Below are 17,654 nucleotides of genomic sequence, written 5' to 3'. Positions count from 1 at the left end.
CTATCTTGATAGAGTAATGAGATATGATATGAAAATTCATTAATTATCAGGTTAATTGAATTTGCGACGTCCCTGACTTTCCTCATTACAGGAGTGAACAGAAAACTCATGAGTGGATCTCATTAGACCATAGTAAATATATTTAATTTCCAGGGACAAAAGTAACAGTATTTTTTCTCATGCAGCTGCAATGCAGCTCACTGAGTGCAGTTTGATGTTCATTGGACATAACACATTACTTTCAGGTTGACATTATTGCTCATACATGTTATAATAATGCGAAAATATATAACATCAATACATGTTGTTTGTTTTTCTAGTCTCTTTTTCTACCTTATATTACCAAAAAAATGATTTTCAGATGAAAAAAGCAAACTTATTACTTGTACCATATTTACTTTGGGCTGAAAGTAAATATTAGACTATTCCTAGGTCTGGAAAGTCAAGCTTCAAGAATATGAAAGTCTGATTTGACTCACTGCATCCCATCCCCCAATTCCATTAACTGAACTGCCCATATGACTTTGCCTTCTTTTTAAAATATCTAAATAATAACTATGCTTCAATACCCTCTTTCCAGACTTTTTGGTAGACAATTTTATCATTGAAGGCTCGAATATCTCTAATATCAATACATTATGTGACTTCAAATTAATTAGTCTTTATAATGTTTTTTATATGCCAAGTAGGAATAATATGTTTTTTTCATTCCTATGTTAAATATTTTTGCAATTATATTGAGGCCTAAGAGACTTTAACATTGTGCTTATCTTAACTCCAACTGCCACTTTCTATGTGGCTTTTCTGAGGCTCAGCTTATTTTGGAGTTCATAGGCAAAAAATACCTCCAAATTTTTGGCTCACACCTGAGTTTTCTTCTCTCCAGGACTTTGACCCCTCAAATATTTACTGTACTAGAAATCCTTCATGCTTTCAAAAATGTATTTCTAAAATAATTCCCACCTTTCCTAGTTGTACTCTAATTGAGTTGTTTTTTTCCTTTGTCGACTAATATTTGTTTAAAAAAATAAATTAGAAATACTTTTTCCACTTATGAAAGTTCATTAAAGTTCCCGAAATTATTTAATCTTCGTTCTTCAAGAACACTATTTCATATCTTAAATCTCAGAGAGCCCATGCACTCCTTGTGGGCTTCAATTAGATGTCCACAGTGTTGGGCCGTGAGCGATGGCTCATGCCTGTAATCCCAGAACTTTGAGAGGCTGAGGCAGGTGGATCACCTGAGATCAGGAGTTTGAGACCAGCCTGGCCAACACGGTGAAACCCCGTCTCTACTAAAAGCACAAAAATTAGCCGGGCTTGGTGGTGCGCGCCTGTAATCCCAGCTACTCTGGAGGCTGAGGCAGGAGAATCGCTTGAACCTGGGAGGCAGAGTTTGCAGTGAGTTGAGATTGCCCCACTGCACTCCAGCCTGGGCAATAAGAGCAAAATTCCATCTCAAAAAATAAAAAATAAAAATAGATGTCCACAGTGCTCTCCTTTCTCAATGATAACATGCATCACATGTCTTCTTGGTGTCTGGGCAGACACAGCCAGGCTTCAGCAACTTTTCCTGAGACTCAGATGGGGCAGGGCTTCGTGGAGGCCAGACCAGGCATCTTTCATGCCATAAACAACCACTAGTGCAGACATCCTGAACTATCCCAGCCTTAGCAAATGTGTATTCTTGGATTGCTCTTTGAGGTAACACTAGTGTATCTTCAGCATATAAATAGCACTCACTAATCCATACCACATTAAATTTACTACAAGTTGTGGCCATATTTTATACCTTGTTGAAGTTTTGGCATGTGAAAATGAAGCTACACAAATCAGTCAGAAAATCAATCATGTTATCTGGAGATAGAAAATAATTCATGTATATTAAACTTGTAGCACAAGCCATCATTATCCATTATGAAAGGGAAAATGTTTAGAATCATTGACTCCATTTTTTAAATGAAGAAACTGATATCTACAGGAGTTAATTCTTTTCAGGGACTTAAAAATGTAATGCCAATTACTGAGCTAAAATTTCAGTTTTTAAATCATTTACTATTTTAGTTATATAAGAGCATTGCCAAAGAGAAATTCACAACATTAGAGATTAAAAATCTTCTAGGGTAACTCCTTAATTTTAGAAATAAGGAAACCAAGACCCTGAGAGGTACATTTGAGCAACAGAAAACTAAAACTTATTTTACCTGTTTCCTATATCAGACAGAGCTTGTTCCTTTGAATCTATCTTTTGAAGAACAAATTTAAATCCGACTTGATTTTTTTTCTAGAACAACTTTATGAAAAAGTGTGTAAGTGTTAACAAAAGTGTCATTAAAAATAATTAAGAAAATTGTGTGTAGGCCAATTACAATAAATAAATAACTTGAAAGAGTGAGAAAAAAGAATGAAAAGACAACTTGATAATGAAATAATAATACACACTGCAGGAAAGCCAGTTAATTGAAGGTTTGTCATGACCAGTGAATGCTACTTGTAAATCCTCTTGAGAAAATAATAGCCTGCTAAAAGAAGAAAAATAATCAAGAGAACAAGATTGCAGAGAAGTATAAATTAGCATATATTTGATCTATGCATTGTCAAAATATAATGATCTTCTTAGCTCATAATAGAAGACAACATATCTAAATGGACTGGTTAATTTAATCTAACTTATTGCTCCAAAATATTATAGCAGCCCTAATTAAACTTTTCCTGTGTGTATCAGGCCATCTCCTTTTCTAGACAGCTGATAAGCAGTTTCATTTTAAAATTACACCCGTTTAGAGAATGCCCCATCTTTGCTTTTCTTCAGAATTTCCATGAGTGAGCTGTCATACAGCAGCAATGTAGAGTGTTAGAGGACATGTCAGAACTCTGAGATAGCTACTCAGGTAAGTTTCACTTATTTTTACTTCCTGTTGACCTCCCTGAATATACCATTTTCACTGAATAATGGAATTCTGTTAGGAACATCAAACAATGTGGAGGGACAAATCAGATAATACTTAATTCATATTAGACAGTAAAAAGAAGCATTCATTCATTTTCAACTTGAATCTTGTTTCTATTATTCGGGTAATTGGTGATGGCTGTCAGTAATTCCTGACACAAATATGTGTGTTTTTCCTATTAAGATTAGTCATAAAAATTGTGGGAATCTTGTGAGCCAGAAGTGGACCACATTTCAAAGCTTTATATAGGGTAGCCTGGATTCTGTGACTAGCTTTTTCCTGCTCTTGGCTACACTTTCCATAGGGATTCTTTAGTTCCTGGAGTTGTCTGCTCTAACTACAAACACAGGAATCAAAGCAAGGAATATCTGCTGGTTTCAAAGTTCCACTGAGTTGAGTATGTGATCTCCTCTGGTCAAACTCCATTTATCACATGCCTCACTGGTATAACCCAATGGCATCTGGTGTCTTCAGGAATTCAAGTTAGCTCAGAAACTTTGAAAAAGTCAGTATCCCTTCCTGTAGGTTTGGACTCCTTTCTCCATTCAAAAATCCATCTTTGAATGCCCTGAAGTCAAGTCAAAGGTAAACAGAAGGCAAGTTATGGTAAAAAAAAAAAAAATGTGGTTTTATATTAGCATACTAGGATCTGTCCTCAAGCTAAATAAACTGCTGTTTATTGGAGGACCTTAAGTCGAAGAGCTGACTCAAATCTGCAAAAACGGTGAGAAACTCTGACTTGGTGGTTCATTTTCTTCCTGCAAATACTTTCTTCATCTACTTATACCAAATGATATATGGCTCTTCAGTGTCCTTTATAGAATCTTACAATTGGTATTCATGGACATATACTCACACACACACACAAACACACATATTAGAAATATATGGTAACCCATGCTGGCATGCTGAAAGCAGAATTTCTGGTAAGTGCTACATTAATAATTGAAATAATAGGATAAACACCATGTAATAAAAATAAAATACACACAAACTCTGATTCCTAATTATATTTTTTCACATTTTAAATAATATAAATTAGCAATTTTCTAAAATTTTTATTTGCTTAATCTATACTACCGTACCTGATAAGCTATAGGAACAGGATAGGACAGCTATCTGGAGTCTAAGTAGCATAAAATACTCCCTATCAGTGTACTGCTCCTGTAACACATAGATCAAAATCATTTTTCTGTCTTCATTATCAAGATTCAAAATCTTTGGAATGTCTAATTAGTTTAGTTTTAGCAAATAATTCAGATAGGAAAAGCTAAGCACCTTCATTCTTGCATAAAATGGGAGAGCAGTAATTCCCTAAATGTCTCTTGTCTAAAAACATTTACTGGATTCAAGATGCTAAAGTGAAGGAAGTTAATAAAGGCTCAGGATAATTAAGCGAAAGAAAACTCCCCATTCTCACTTGAATAAAGTTACTTAAAAATAATTTATATTTGACACATATTATTTGTACATATTTATGTGGTACAATGTCATGTTTCAGTACATGTATACATAGTGTAATAATCAAATTGGGGTGATTACCATATACATTACTTTAATCATTAATCGTTTTCTAGTCTTGACAATATGCAAAGTCTAGCTGTCTTCTAGTTATCTTGAAATACACAGTACGTAATTATTTTCTATAGTCACCCTACCATGTAATAAAACAATGAAATTCTTTCTAACTGTAAATTTGTACTATTGACCAGCCTCTCTCTCCCTCTCCTCTCCTTCCCCCTACCCTCCACAGCCACTAGTAACTACTATTCTACTCTTTTTTTTTTTTTTTTGAGAGGGAGTCTCGCTCTGTCCCCCAAGCCAGAGTGAAGTGGCGCAATCTCTGCTCACTGCAAGCTCCACTTCCCGGGTTCACGCCATTCTCCTGCCTCAGCCTCCTGAGTAGCTGGGACTATAGGCGCCCGCCACCACGCCCGGCTAATTTTTTGTATTTTTAGTAGAGATGGGGTTTCACAGTGTTAGCCAGGACGGTCTTGATCTCCTGACCTCGTGATCTGCCCATCTCGGCTTCCCAAAGTGCTGGGATTACAGGCGTGAGCCACCACGCCCAGCCTCTACTCTACTTTTATGAGATCAACATTTTTAGATTTCACGTATGAGTGAGATCATGCAATGTTTGTCTTTCTATGCCTGTTAAGTGACAATTATGTTATTTCACTTAAAAATGTCTTCCAGATCCATCTATGTTGCCACAAATGACAGGAGTTCATTCTCTTTTATGGCTGAATCGTATTCCATTGTGTGTGTGTGTGTGTGTGTGTGTGTGTGTGTATACCACATTTTCTTTATTCATTCACCTGTCAATGGGTATTTAAGTTGATTCCATATCTTGGCTATTGTGAACAGTGCTGCAATAAACATGAGTGTGCACATGTCTCTTCCACATACTGATTTCATTTCTTTTGAATGCTTACCCAGAAATACGATGGTTAGATTATGCGGTAGTTCTGTTTTTAATTTTTTGAGGAATTAAAGAGTCCAAACTTAAAGGAATGGATACTGACGTTTTCGAGGTTTCCATACTGTTTTCACAATACAAAATAATTTATATTCCTACAAGCAGTGTGTAAGAGCTCCCCTTTTTCCACATACTGGCCAACATTTTTGTTATTTTTTGTCTTTTTTTATAATAGCCATTCTAAATGAGGTGAAGTGATACCTGACTGTGTTGTTGATTTACATTTCTCTGATGATTCGTGATGTTGACCATTTTTCATATATCTGCAGGTTATTTGTATGTCTTCTTTAAAGAAATGTTTATTCAGGTATTTTGCTCATTTTTAACTGGATTTTTTTCTGCTTTGAGCTCATTGAGTTCCTTATATAGTCTGTGTATTAACTCCTTGTCAGATGAATATTTGAATATATTTTCTCTCATTTGGCAAGTTGTCTCACTTTAGTAATTGTTTTCTTTATTCTGCAGGATCTTTTTAGCTTATGTAATATAATTTTTTATTTTGTTTCCTGCATTTTTGAGGTCTTATTCAAAAAATGCTTGCCCACTTCAATTTCATGAAGTATTTCCCTTATGTTTCCTTCTAGTAGTTTTATAGCATTAGATCTTGCATTAAAATCATTAATTCATTTAGAGTTTATTTTTGTGTATGATAAGAGATAGGGGTCTGGATTTACTTTCCTGTATGTAGATACTCATTTTCTCAGCATCATTAATTGAAGACACTGTCTTTTCACCAATGTGTGTTCATGGAGCATATGACAATAATTAGTTGGCTATATAAATGAATTTATTTCTGGGTTTCCATTCTGTTTTATTGGTATATGTGTCTGCTTTTACGTCAGTACAATTTTGGCTACTATAGCTTTGTTGCGTATTTTGAAGTAATGCAATGTGATGCCTCCAGCTTTGTTTAGTTTGCTCAAGATAGCTTTGGCTATTCACGGTTTTGCATTTTCATACAAATTTTGGAACTGTTTTTTCTATTTCTGTAAATAATGGCATCAATATTTTGACAGAGATTGCATTGAATCTGCAGATAACTTTGGATAATATGGACCTTTTAACAATATTATTTCTTTCAATCCATAAACAAGAGATATCTTTCCATATAAATGAAAGGAACACAAATAACTGTGTCCTTTTCAATTTCTTTCATCAATGTTTTATAGTTTTCATCATAGATATCTCTCACCTCCTTGGTTAAGTTTACTCCCATTTTTTTTTTTGGTGGCTATTGTAAATAGAATTGCTTTTTTGTTTTTTTTTTTTAGATTGTTCATCGTGGATGTATAGGAACACTACTGACTTTTATATATTGATTTTGTATATTGCAATTTTACTAAATTATTTTATTAGTTTTAACTGTTTTTTGGTGCAACCTTTAAGGTTATATATATATGTATAATCATAAAATCATGTCACCTAAAAATAAGAACTGGCCGGGCGTGGTGGCTCACGCCTGTAATCCCAGCACTTTGGGAGGCTGAGGTGGGCAGATCACGAAGTCAGGAGATCCAGACCATCCTGGCTAACACGATGAAACCCCATCTCTACTAAAAATACAAAAAATTAGCCGGACATGGTGGCAGGCGCCGGTAGTCCCAGCTACTCAGGAGGCTGAGGCAGGAGAATGGCGTGAACCGGGAGGCAGAGCTTGCAGTGAGCTGAGATCGCACCACTGCACTCCAGCCTGGACAACAGAGCGAGACTCCATCTCAAAAAAAAAAAAAAAAAGGAACTATTTGACATTCTGCTTTCTGATTTGGATGCCCTTTATTTCTTTCTCTTGCCTGATTGCTCTGGCTAGAACTTCCAGTAGTATGTTTAAAAAAACTGTTGAAAATGATCATCCTTCTCATTTTCCAAATCTTAGAGAAACAGCTTTCAACTTTTTTCTCATTCAGTATAATGTTACCTGCAACTTTGTCATACATGGCTTTATTGTATTGTGAAGCATTCCTTCATTGCCAGGCTTGTTGAGAGTTTTTATTACGAAGGAATGCCAAATTTTATAAAATGCCTTTTCAGCATCTATTGAAATGATCATATGGTTTTCATCCCTGATTCAGTTAATTTGATGCAGATCATTTGTTGTTCTGTTGAACCATCCTTGCATCTCTGTGATTAATCCCATTTGATCATGGTAAATAATCCTTATTATGTATTGTTGAATTAAGTTTATTAGTATTTTGTTCTGGATTTTTGCATCTATGTTCATCAGAGATATTCTCCTGACATTTTCTTTTTTTGTTGTGTCCTTGTCTGGTTTTGATATCAGAGTAATGCTGGTCTCATATAATGAATTTGAAAGTATTCCTTTCTCTTCCATTTTTTGGAATAATTTGAGTAAGATTGCTTTCCATTTTTCTTTAAAGGTTTGGTAGAATTTAGCTGTAGAGCCATCATCAGGTCCTCGACTTTTATTTGATGGGATACTTTTTTATTACTGCTTTGATCTTGTTATTCATTATTGGTGTGTTCACCCTGAAATTTCATCATCATCTTTTCTCATTTTTCAAGGCTATAGTTAGGAAAAAAGTATTTTTAGTTTATTATATAAGTCAATATACCTCTCTTAATCTCTTAGCAAGTAAACTTAATTCACAACTTCTTTTTGTCTGATTCTTCATGGGCTACAACTATATTTTGTCATTTAGAGTAATCAACAAAGGTGTCTAGGTTATCAAGATCATAAAATTTTGCTACCAATAAAAGAGAAGCAAAAATTCAAGGGCTATCTTCATCAACAGCAGCAGAAGAATTAGCATTTTTAAAAAACAGCAATTTTGAGCGTCTACTAAATATTCTTTAAGGGTATTACATACTTTTTTTTGTTTTATTCTCAGAATAGTCCTATTAAATAAATACAGATAAAGAAATTGGGATTTCAAGATAAATGGACACATATGTTACATCAACTGTGTATGACACATAGCTAGAGTTACCTACATAATTATGTGTAGCTCATAACATACATAATTTGCACTCCCCAGCTAATGTGTTTTGTAAGTTAGTTCAGCAATTTTTTCATGAATAATTAAACTTGATGGCTCTGCAAAAAACACTCAAAATGTTTGCACCCCCAGTAATAATGTCAGATACTATATTGAAATATATATGTATATTCATTAAGAACTATACAATTTTCTTTAATACAGCAAATTCCCAAACATTTTATTAATAAAATGGATTTAGAAATACAGATTTGAAAAGCCAAGGTAGTTTTTAAAGTCATATAACTATTGATAGCACATTATGAAGTTTATTTATATTTATCAATATAATATATATAATATATACATATATACATATTCATATATGTACATATTCATATATATATACATATACATATACATATATTTGATAGATGGGGTCTCACTTGGTTGCCCAGGCTGGTCTCTGGTCTTAAGACTTCAGGTCTCAAGTCATCTTCCTGCCTCAGCCTCCCTGGTAGCTGGGATTCCAGGTGCATGCCACTGAGCCTGGCTTCAGTGTCATATTTGCTAATATGTTTAAATATTTTACACATTTTTGCCTCTTAGTAAAACTCCATTTGTTTCTTAATGATGTTAAAAGAAAATAAATTTTTAAAAAATCACAAATTCTTAGGAGCTAAGCACATTATCTCTACTCTTAGGCAGTAAGTAAGACAATTCTCTGATATACTAAAGATCTTCGGTAAACACAAGTCAGTTTTCAATAAGAAACATTTACCCCTGAAATATCCAGTCACACTTAAAATAATATGTGCCCAAATGTAGTTTCCTCCCTAATAACATAAATGGATTTATACTTATAAAAAATATTTCTGAATTATTGAGGATATTTTAATATAGGGTCAAGTAGTGAATTGTTTTCAAATGAACTTTTTATTGTGAAAATAATAGTCCACAGCACCCATACTCTAGTATAAAACCAATCTTTTAAATGAACTTTATAAAGAAATACTTTGAGAAATAGAAAGTACCTATCACTGAATTTTGAGAGTGGAAATTCTGTTTTATTAATCATTAAAACATGTTAAGAACCACTGGCTTAGCTAATTTCATAGCTGTTGTTTAGTGTTTTATCTTATTGTCTCGTTTCTTTCCACAGGAAGTGTCAACATTTCAAAGCCGTATTCATCAACACTATCATGCAAAGTAAACTCACATTAACAGATATTGAAAAACATTGAAACTTTTCATATTATCTGAACTAAACATTGTAGAATGAATAGAAGTACAATTATGAAAAGTTAATTTTAAGGCCGGGCGCGGTGGCTCATGCCTGTAATCCCAGCACTTTGGGAGGCCGAGGCAGGCGGATCACGAGGTCAGGAGATCCAGACCATCCTGGCTAACACTGTGAAACCCCATCTCTACTAAAAATACAAAAAATTAGCCGGGCGTGGTGGCGGGTGCCTGTAGTCCCAGCTACTCGGGAGGCTGAGGCAGGAGAATGGTGTGAACCCAGGAGGCTGAGTTTGCAGTGAGCTGAGATTGCTCCACTGCACTCCAGCCTGGGCGACAGAGCAAGACTCCGTCTCAAAAACAGAAACAAAAAAAGTTAATTTTAAAAAATACAAACAAAGCTGAATTTCCAGATCTTTTTCTATTCTAAATTCTATAAAAATTCTAACTTTACTCCTTTTTTTTCTGCTGAATTTACAGTTAAATATTAATATGATTACACTTGCTCTGTTACTTCTTTCCATTCATACTGTAGTACCAGTGTTACTTAAAGGTCACACTTGGCTGGGCACAATGGCTCACACCTGTAATCCCACCACTTTTGGAGACCGAGGCGGGCGGATCACCTGAGGTCAGGAATTTGAGACCAGCCTGCCCAACATGGCGAAATCCCATCTTTACTAAAAATACAAAAAATTAGCCGGTGTGGTGGCCTGCAATCCCAGTTACTCAGAAGGCTGAAGCAGGAGAATCGCTTGAACTCCGGAGGTGGAGGTTGCCATGAGCTGAGATGGCGCCACTGCACTCCAGCCTGGGCCACAAGAGCAAAACTCCATCTCAAAAAAAAAAAAAAAGTCATACCTAATGAATTACTAGTATTTTATAATACATTAATATTGTTTTATAATAATTTAAATGTAAGTTTTAAATGAAAGTTGTTAGTGGTTTATATTATAAATAGAGAAACACGGTTTGTCTACTTCATTAAAAAAACTTCTATTTTGTCCTTTTTTCAGGAGTTAATTTCTTATTTTCTGTTCATATACTTAGAAAAGTCAATTTGACTTTCAAAAATATTAAAACAACTGTAATCCCATTACTTTAGGAGGTTGAGGCGGGTGGATCACTTGAGGCCCAGAGTTTGAGACCAGCCTGGCGAACATGGCAAAACTCCATCTCCAGAAAAAAATACAAAAAATTAACTGAGCGTGTTGGCACACACTTGTAATCCCAGCTACTCAGGAGACTGAGACATAAGAATTGCTTGAACCTAGGAGGCAGAGGTTGCAGTGAGCCAAGATTGTGCCCCTGCACTCCATCCTGAGTGACAGAACAAGACTCTGTCTCAAAAAAAAAAAAAAAAAAAAATTAAAACAAGCATTTGTGACATGGAAATACAATGAGTTGACTAAAGCTGTTCTGATACAAAATATTGCTTGACTGTTAGACTTACACATTGGGAGATAATCCTTTGTGAGTCTCTTTTGTTTCTTTTGTTTCTGAATGTCTTCTGAAGAGTTAATTATTTATAAATTTTGTTCCAGACTCTCTTTTCAAGGACCATGTATATCAATGGTCTTGGAAGATACAAATAGTAACTCCTCATGCAGATTTGTTTCATTACCAGAACAATATTCATAATGTCTACATTATCTATGTAATGTCTATAATAACTTTATAGATCATGTCTATATTAACTTTTGAGAGAAAGTTTGGGAAGTTTGGTTATCAGCCACCTTGGAAAACTGATGGTCTTCCAAACTTGGAACTCTTCAGTTTTGATAAAAACCTGTGTGTGAAGCATCCCCATACACCCATCTTTTTATTGCCCTCATTAAATGTGGGGGACCAGTAGGACGAATGTGGACATTAAGCTTAAGCTGATGGTGGTGGCTGCCCATCTGCAGCAGCCACTGCAGTGATGGCATTGGCAGCAAAGGAGGTGCCACCAGGGCTGTGCACCCCATGGAGCCAGTGGAACTGGGAACAGGCAGGAGTCCCACCCCCTACTGAGCTGGCAGGGCAGGAACTCCACATTCCCAATCACAGCTTCAGACACCTCACCAAGGTTCCAGATCTGGGCATCTCTGTGCTCTCAGGAGCCAGGGAACCACCCCCTGTCCCTACAGGCTCAGAAGTGTCCTCTCCTGCTAGCTGGCCTTTCCCCACTCCTGGTGCCTGCTCTAATTTTGTAGCAAAGGTGGAGCTGATCGCAGGGGCTGTTGCAACCTGGCTGTTTGTGCATGCACTCAGGGTGGTGCTGATTTGCCAGCTCACCTCCCTCCTGCCGTGGCCCCCTTCAGACTTTGGGCACTGATGAGTGTGGGAAGGAGGCCACGGTGGAGCTGAAGGTGGCTTAGTTTGGGCCTGCATGCATCCCTCAGCAGGGACAACCTGGACACCATGATGGTGACAGGAGGCAGACAGGTTCCTGGGCAGAAAGGAGTGGATACCCAGTGAAGCCCCAACTTCAAGCCAGGGAAGACCTGAAGACTGGCGGCCAGGCTGCCAGTTTCAGGTGAAGTCCACATTCATGAACCAATCAGCATTTACTTCCTCCCTTCTGAGTCCATAAATACCCTGGACTCAGCCATTGTATTAGTCCATTTTCATGCTGCTGATAAAGACATATCCGAGGCTGGGCAATATGCAAAACAAAGAGGTTTATTGGACTCACAGTGCCACTTGGCTGGGAGGCCTCACAGTCATGATGGAAGGTGAAAACATGCCTCACATGGTGGCAGACAAGAGACAAGAGCTTGTGCAGGAAAACTCTCATTTTTGAAACCATTGTATCTCATGAGACTCATTCACTATCACAAGAACAGCACAGGAAAGACCCGTCTCATGATTCAATCACCTCCCACCATGTTCCTCCCACAACAGGTGGGAATTGTGGGAGTTACAACTCAAGATGAGATTTGGGCAGAGACACAGACAAATCAAATCATTCCACCCCTGGCCATTCCCAAATCTCATGTCCTCACACTTCAAAATCAATCCTGCCTTCCCAACAGTCCCCCAAAATCTTAACTCATTTCAGCATTAACTCGAAAGTCCACAGTCCAGTGTCTCATCTAAGACAAGGCAAGTCCCTTCCGCCTATGAGCCTGTAAAATTAAAAGCAAGTTGGCTACTTCTTAGATACAATGGGGTACAGGCATCAGGTAAATACAGCCATTCCAAATGGGAGAAATTGACCAAAACAAAAGGACTATGGGCCCCATGCAAATCTGAAATCCAGCAGAGCAGTTAAATCTTAAAGCTCCGAAATATTGTCCTCTGACTCCATGTCTCAAATCCAGTTCACACTGATGCAAGGGATGGGTTTCCATGGTCTTGGGCAGCTTGGCTTTGCAGGGTACAGCCTCCCTCCCATCTACTTTCACAGGCTGGCTGGCATTGAGAGTCTGTGGCTTTTCCAGGCACATGGTGCAAGCCATTGGTGGATCTACCATTCTTGGGTCTGGGGGATGGTGGCCCTCTTCTCACAGCTCCACTAGGCAATGCCCCAGTAGTGACTCTATTACTCTGACACCATTCCCACATTTCCCTTCCTCACTGCCCTAGCAAAAGTTCTCCATGAGTGCCCTGCTCCTGCAGCAAACTTCTGCCTGGGCATCCAGACATTTTCATACATCTTCTGAAATCTAGGTGCGGTTTCCCCATGTTGGCTAGGCTGGTCTTGAACTCTTGGCTTCAGGTGATTCACCTGCCTTGGCCTCCCAAAGTGCTGGGATTACAGGAATGAGCCAGTGTGCCTAGACACAAACCTCAATTCTTCACTTCTGTGCACCTGCAAGCTCAACAACACATGGACGCTGCCAAGGCTTGGGGCTTCCACCCTCTGAAGCCATGGCTCGATCTCTACCTTGGCCCCATTCAGCCATGGCTGGAGTGGCTGGGACACAGGTCACCAAGTCCCTAGGCTGCACACAGCACGGGGACCCTCAGCCCGGCCCACAAAACCATTTTCTCCTAGGCCTGTAGGTCTGTGATGGGAGGGATTGCCGTGAAAACCTCTGACATGCCCTGGAGACATTTTCCCCATTGTCTTGGGGATTCACATTCAGCTCCTTGTTACTTAAGCAATTTTCTGCAGCTGGCTTGAATTTCTCCTCAGAAAATGGGTTTTTCTTTTTCTATTACATTGTCAGGCTGCAAATTTTTTGAACTTTTATGCTCTGCTTCCCTTACAAAACTGAATGCTTTTAACAGCACTCAAGCCACCACTTGAATGTTTCGTTGCTTAAAAATTTCTTCTACCAGATACCCTAAATCATCTCCCTCAAGTTCAAAGTTTCACAGATCTCTAGAGCAGGGGCAAAATAATGCCAGTCTCTTTGTTAAAACATATCAGACTCACCTTTACTCAAGTTTCCAACAAGTTATTCATCTTCATCTGAGACCACCTCATCCTGGGTTTCATCATATATCACTATCAGCATTTCGGTCAAAGCCACTAAACAAATCTCTAGGGAGTTCCAAACCTTCCTACATTTTCCCATCTTTTTCCAAGCCCCCCCAAACTGTTCCAACTTGGCCTGCTACCCAATTCCAAAGTTGCTTCCGCATTTTCAGGTATGTTTTCAGCAGCATGCTACTCCTGGTACCAATTTACTGCATTAGACCATTTTCACGCTGCTGATAAAGACATACCTGAGACTGGGCAATTTACAAAAGAAAGAGGTTTATTGGACTCACAGTGCCACATGGCTGGGGAGCTCCACAATCATAATGGAAGATGAAACATGTCTCACATGGTGGCAGACAAGGGAAGAGAGCTTGTGCAGGTAAACTCCCATTTTTAAAACCATCAGATCTCATGAGACTCATTCCCTATCACAAGAGCAGTGCAGGAAATACCTGCCCACATGATTCAATCACTTCCCACGGAGTTTCTCCCACAATAGGTGGGAATTGTGGGAGTTACAATTCAAGATGAGATTTGGGTGGGGACACAGTGAAACCGTATCAGCCAGATTCACACAGACATTGGGACTACCTGCTGCAGGAAGGAGCTACCCACTACGAGTCTTCTCTTCACTGAGAGCTGGACACTCCCCTGGCCGACCTGCCTGCAGAAAGAAGCTATCCACTTCAGGTCTCCTGAGAGCTGTTCTGTCACTCAGTGGAGCTCCTCTCTGCTTTGCTCACCCTCCAGTTGTCCACATACCTCATTCTTCCCCGACATGGGACAAGAACTCAGGTCCCACCAAAAGGTGGGACTGAAAGAGGTTTAACACAAATAGGACTGAAACACACCCCTCGCTCGCCACATTGTGGTGAGAAGAGAAGAGCTCACAAGAAGGAGAGAAGAGCTGTGGCCCTTCAGGGAGCCCAGACCTAAGGGCTCCCTGAGCCAGGGCTGTGACACCCTCTTTGGGGCTCTGCAGCTCCTGGCATCTCCAAGCTTCTGGGTACCACTGCATTCCCTGGTGCCCACAGTGGAAGCTGTTTACAGTACACCTGGTTCAGCTGTAGCCTCACACAGAGCTGGCACAAGGGCTGACACCTGGAGCTGCCTGCCCCGTCTCAGGTGGCACACTTGGCTTTGTGCAGAGGTCAAATCCCACGCTTACTAACACACCTCTTGCCACTCTGTGCCTGGCACGCCCTTGGCAGGTATGGGATCTGGGCCAGTAGTGTGGGCCAAGCAAAACCTGCTGTGGAGACTGAGTGAACAAACCCATGGGCCCGAGCAAAACTCAGGCAAATATGCTATTGGCCACAGAGGTTTCTGGCTGGAGAAGCGACACCCTAAGGATCCTGTGACAAAGCTGCCTGCTTTGCTGAGAATGGTAACATTCTTTGTCTCTAATCTAGGTTTCATATTTTTTGTCAGAATCTGTGAAACTGTGGAAGGCTGACTTGTTTTTTTGCAAGCAGAGTGAAAACTCAGATATATCATACTTTCTGATAAAACCCTGAAACTATTTTTTGTACTCATTTGATTCGTACAAGTTTTACCTTAAGTATTTCATTCAAAATTGATGGATTACTTCTATTCACCCTATCTGTAATGTTCTTCTGAACAGAAGATTCAAAATGACAGTGTAGTTACAATTAGTTATAATATACTAATGTAAAACAAGTGAAAAGCAATAGAATAATGTTATATATATTTATGAAATATTCTGTCAATGTAGGTGTAGTTTGATAGTGTAAGTTTGTTGAACATTATGTGATTCAAATAAAAGCTAGAAGTTGCATAATTGTTGAATGAATGAATGAGTGGTAAACGGAACGCTTTTTGGCATTTCGAGTTTTGTGGGAAATTACATAGCTCAACAGTAAAGGTGCGACTTAGAGCTCTACATTCCTAGTGAAAAGGACAGCATGTCAAAGGCAGTGAGGGGGTAACTGAGCAATATAATTCAAATCGATTAATTTGAAAATTGTGGAAAATTAAAATTAGGGGCACTTTATCTTTTTGTATTATATATAAATGTTAAATTTTATATGCAAGAGCCTATTTTAAAAACCTGATATTATGGTTTTTGTGATTTGGTATGATTAGAACTATGAGATTCCTAACAATTCTGAAGAAATAGCAAATATAGTGGAAAAGGGCACAATTAGAGCTCTGACACAGTACTTCAAATGTTAAGAAACTGAGCTAACAAATTAGGCTGATGGCCCCAAAACAGGAAGAAATAATAACTTTTTGAGAAAAGGGTTTAAGCATTGTTTATTTTTCTTCCTAATCATTGTCATTGGCAAGGCATGTGGTCACTGTACATCCAAGTCTCCATATTTGTAAAAAAAAAAAAAAGTCTGCTTAATTTATTCCATAGAATGATTTTGAGGCTCAAATGAACTAATACTTAGCATAGCACTTTGACTAATTTAAAAAGATATAAAGGCTATAAATATTAAACTATATAATTAAGGATTTATTATAATTCCTGACATGTGCAAAGTACTTAATATTACAGTTGTTTTTGGTTACTCTATCATATCACCTTATTTTTGCTTTACTATCACACATATATTTAAGTATTTTTTTCTCCAAACAACCAATTTCAGCATTTCACTTGTCTTTGTATCCTTTTTCTTCTGCATCTGTATGTCTAGATGGAAAACTGCATCAGAAAAGTAAGCATGCTTACAATTTTCATATACAGATCACTAACATCCAGTATCAGAGGACTACCTAAAACATTATAAACACTAAAGACATATTGCCAAAATAATTTAATTTTTACATCTTTAAAGAAGAATTAAACTAGTGAAATGGATTAATTTTGCTTACTTTTTAGCCATAGAGGTTATTTTCTGAAATAATCCTGGTAAAAGTGTTTTATTAAATAAAAGAGTGTGAAATAATGTAGCTGAGTTTTACTAGTTACTTTTACAAACCAGAAATATACAAAATTATAATATATTTTAGAGCTATTGTACTTGTGAACTGTAATGCTTGTGAACATGTATCTGTAAAGTTATAAAAATTTTAAAAATGATAAAAATTCAAAATTAAGAAAGATACAGATTTAATAAATTTACAACTGGTGCCACATTTAGAAACACAAGAAATAAAATGAATCGACCTATATTTTAAGCATACTTCAAGTACATTTGTACTTGAAATGTGAATACTACGTGAAGGAGGAGCTTTCACTTTTACAACAGTAACAAATACTTGCTATGTTCTGGACCCTCTGCTAAGTGCTTTACATGCGCCAATTATTTAGTCAATTGGTGAACATTTAAGATAGATACTACCACTATTTTTATTTTCTATATCAGGAAACAAAACTGCAGAAAAATGAAGTATATCTGCTAAGAATATACAATGACAGAATTAGATGTGAAAACAAAGACTTCGGTTCAAAAGCTTCACTCTTAACCACACTTTATTGTTTTAAAATGTTAGCATTTATTATATAATTACTATAAGCCAGATACTGCTGTAAGAACTTAGGGAATTGTGATTTATCCAACTCCACAATAAACCAATGAGGTAGAAGTTAATAAAATCCCCCTCAAGAAGTGAAGAAACTATGGCATGGAGAAGGTAAATAATGTATTAAATGTTGATTGCTGGAAATT

The 17,654-nt window shown here is 37.6% G+C and overlaps 1 long non-coding RNA gene across 1 annotated transcript in view; it reads left to right on the top strand.

Moving 5' to 3' along the window:
* LOC105377422 (uncharacterized) overlaps window positions 1-9,663 on the top strand; it is a 31,548-nt gene extending 21,885 nt beyond the window's left edge. Inside the window, exons 2-3 of the long non-coding RNA XR_939196.1 lie at window positions 2,813-2,891; window positions 9,526-9,663. This is a non-coding gene — a long non-coding RNA (uncharacterized LOC105377422). The remainder of the gene's footprint in view (window positions 1-2,812; window positions 2,892-9,525) is intronic.
* The last annotated feature ends 7,991 nt before the right edge of the window (window positions 9,664-17,654 follow it).

Source organism: Homo sapiens, chromosome 4, assembly GCF_000001405.40.
Source record: "Homo sapiens chromosome 4, GRCh38.p14 Primary Assembly".
NCBI classification, from domain to species: Eukaryota; Metazoa; Chordata; class Mammalia; order Primates; family Hominidae; genus Homo; species Homo sapiens.
The sequence above is the reverse complement of the archived record's forward strand: the minus strand, read 5'-3'. Positions and strand labels throughout refer to the sequence as shown.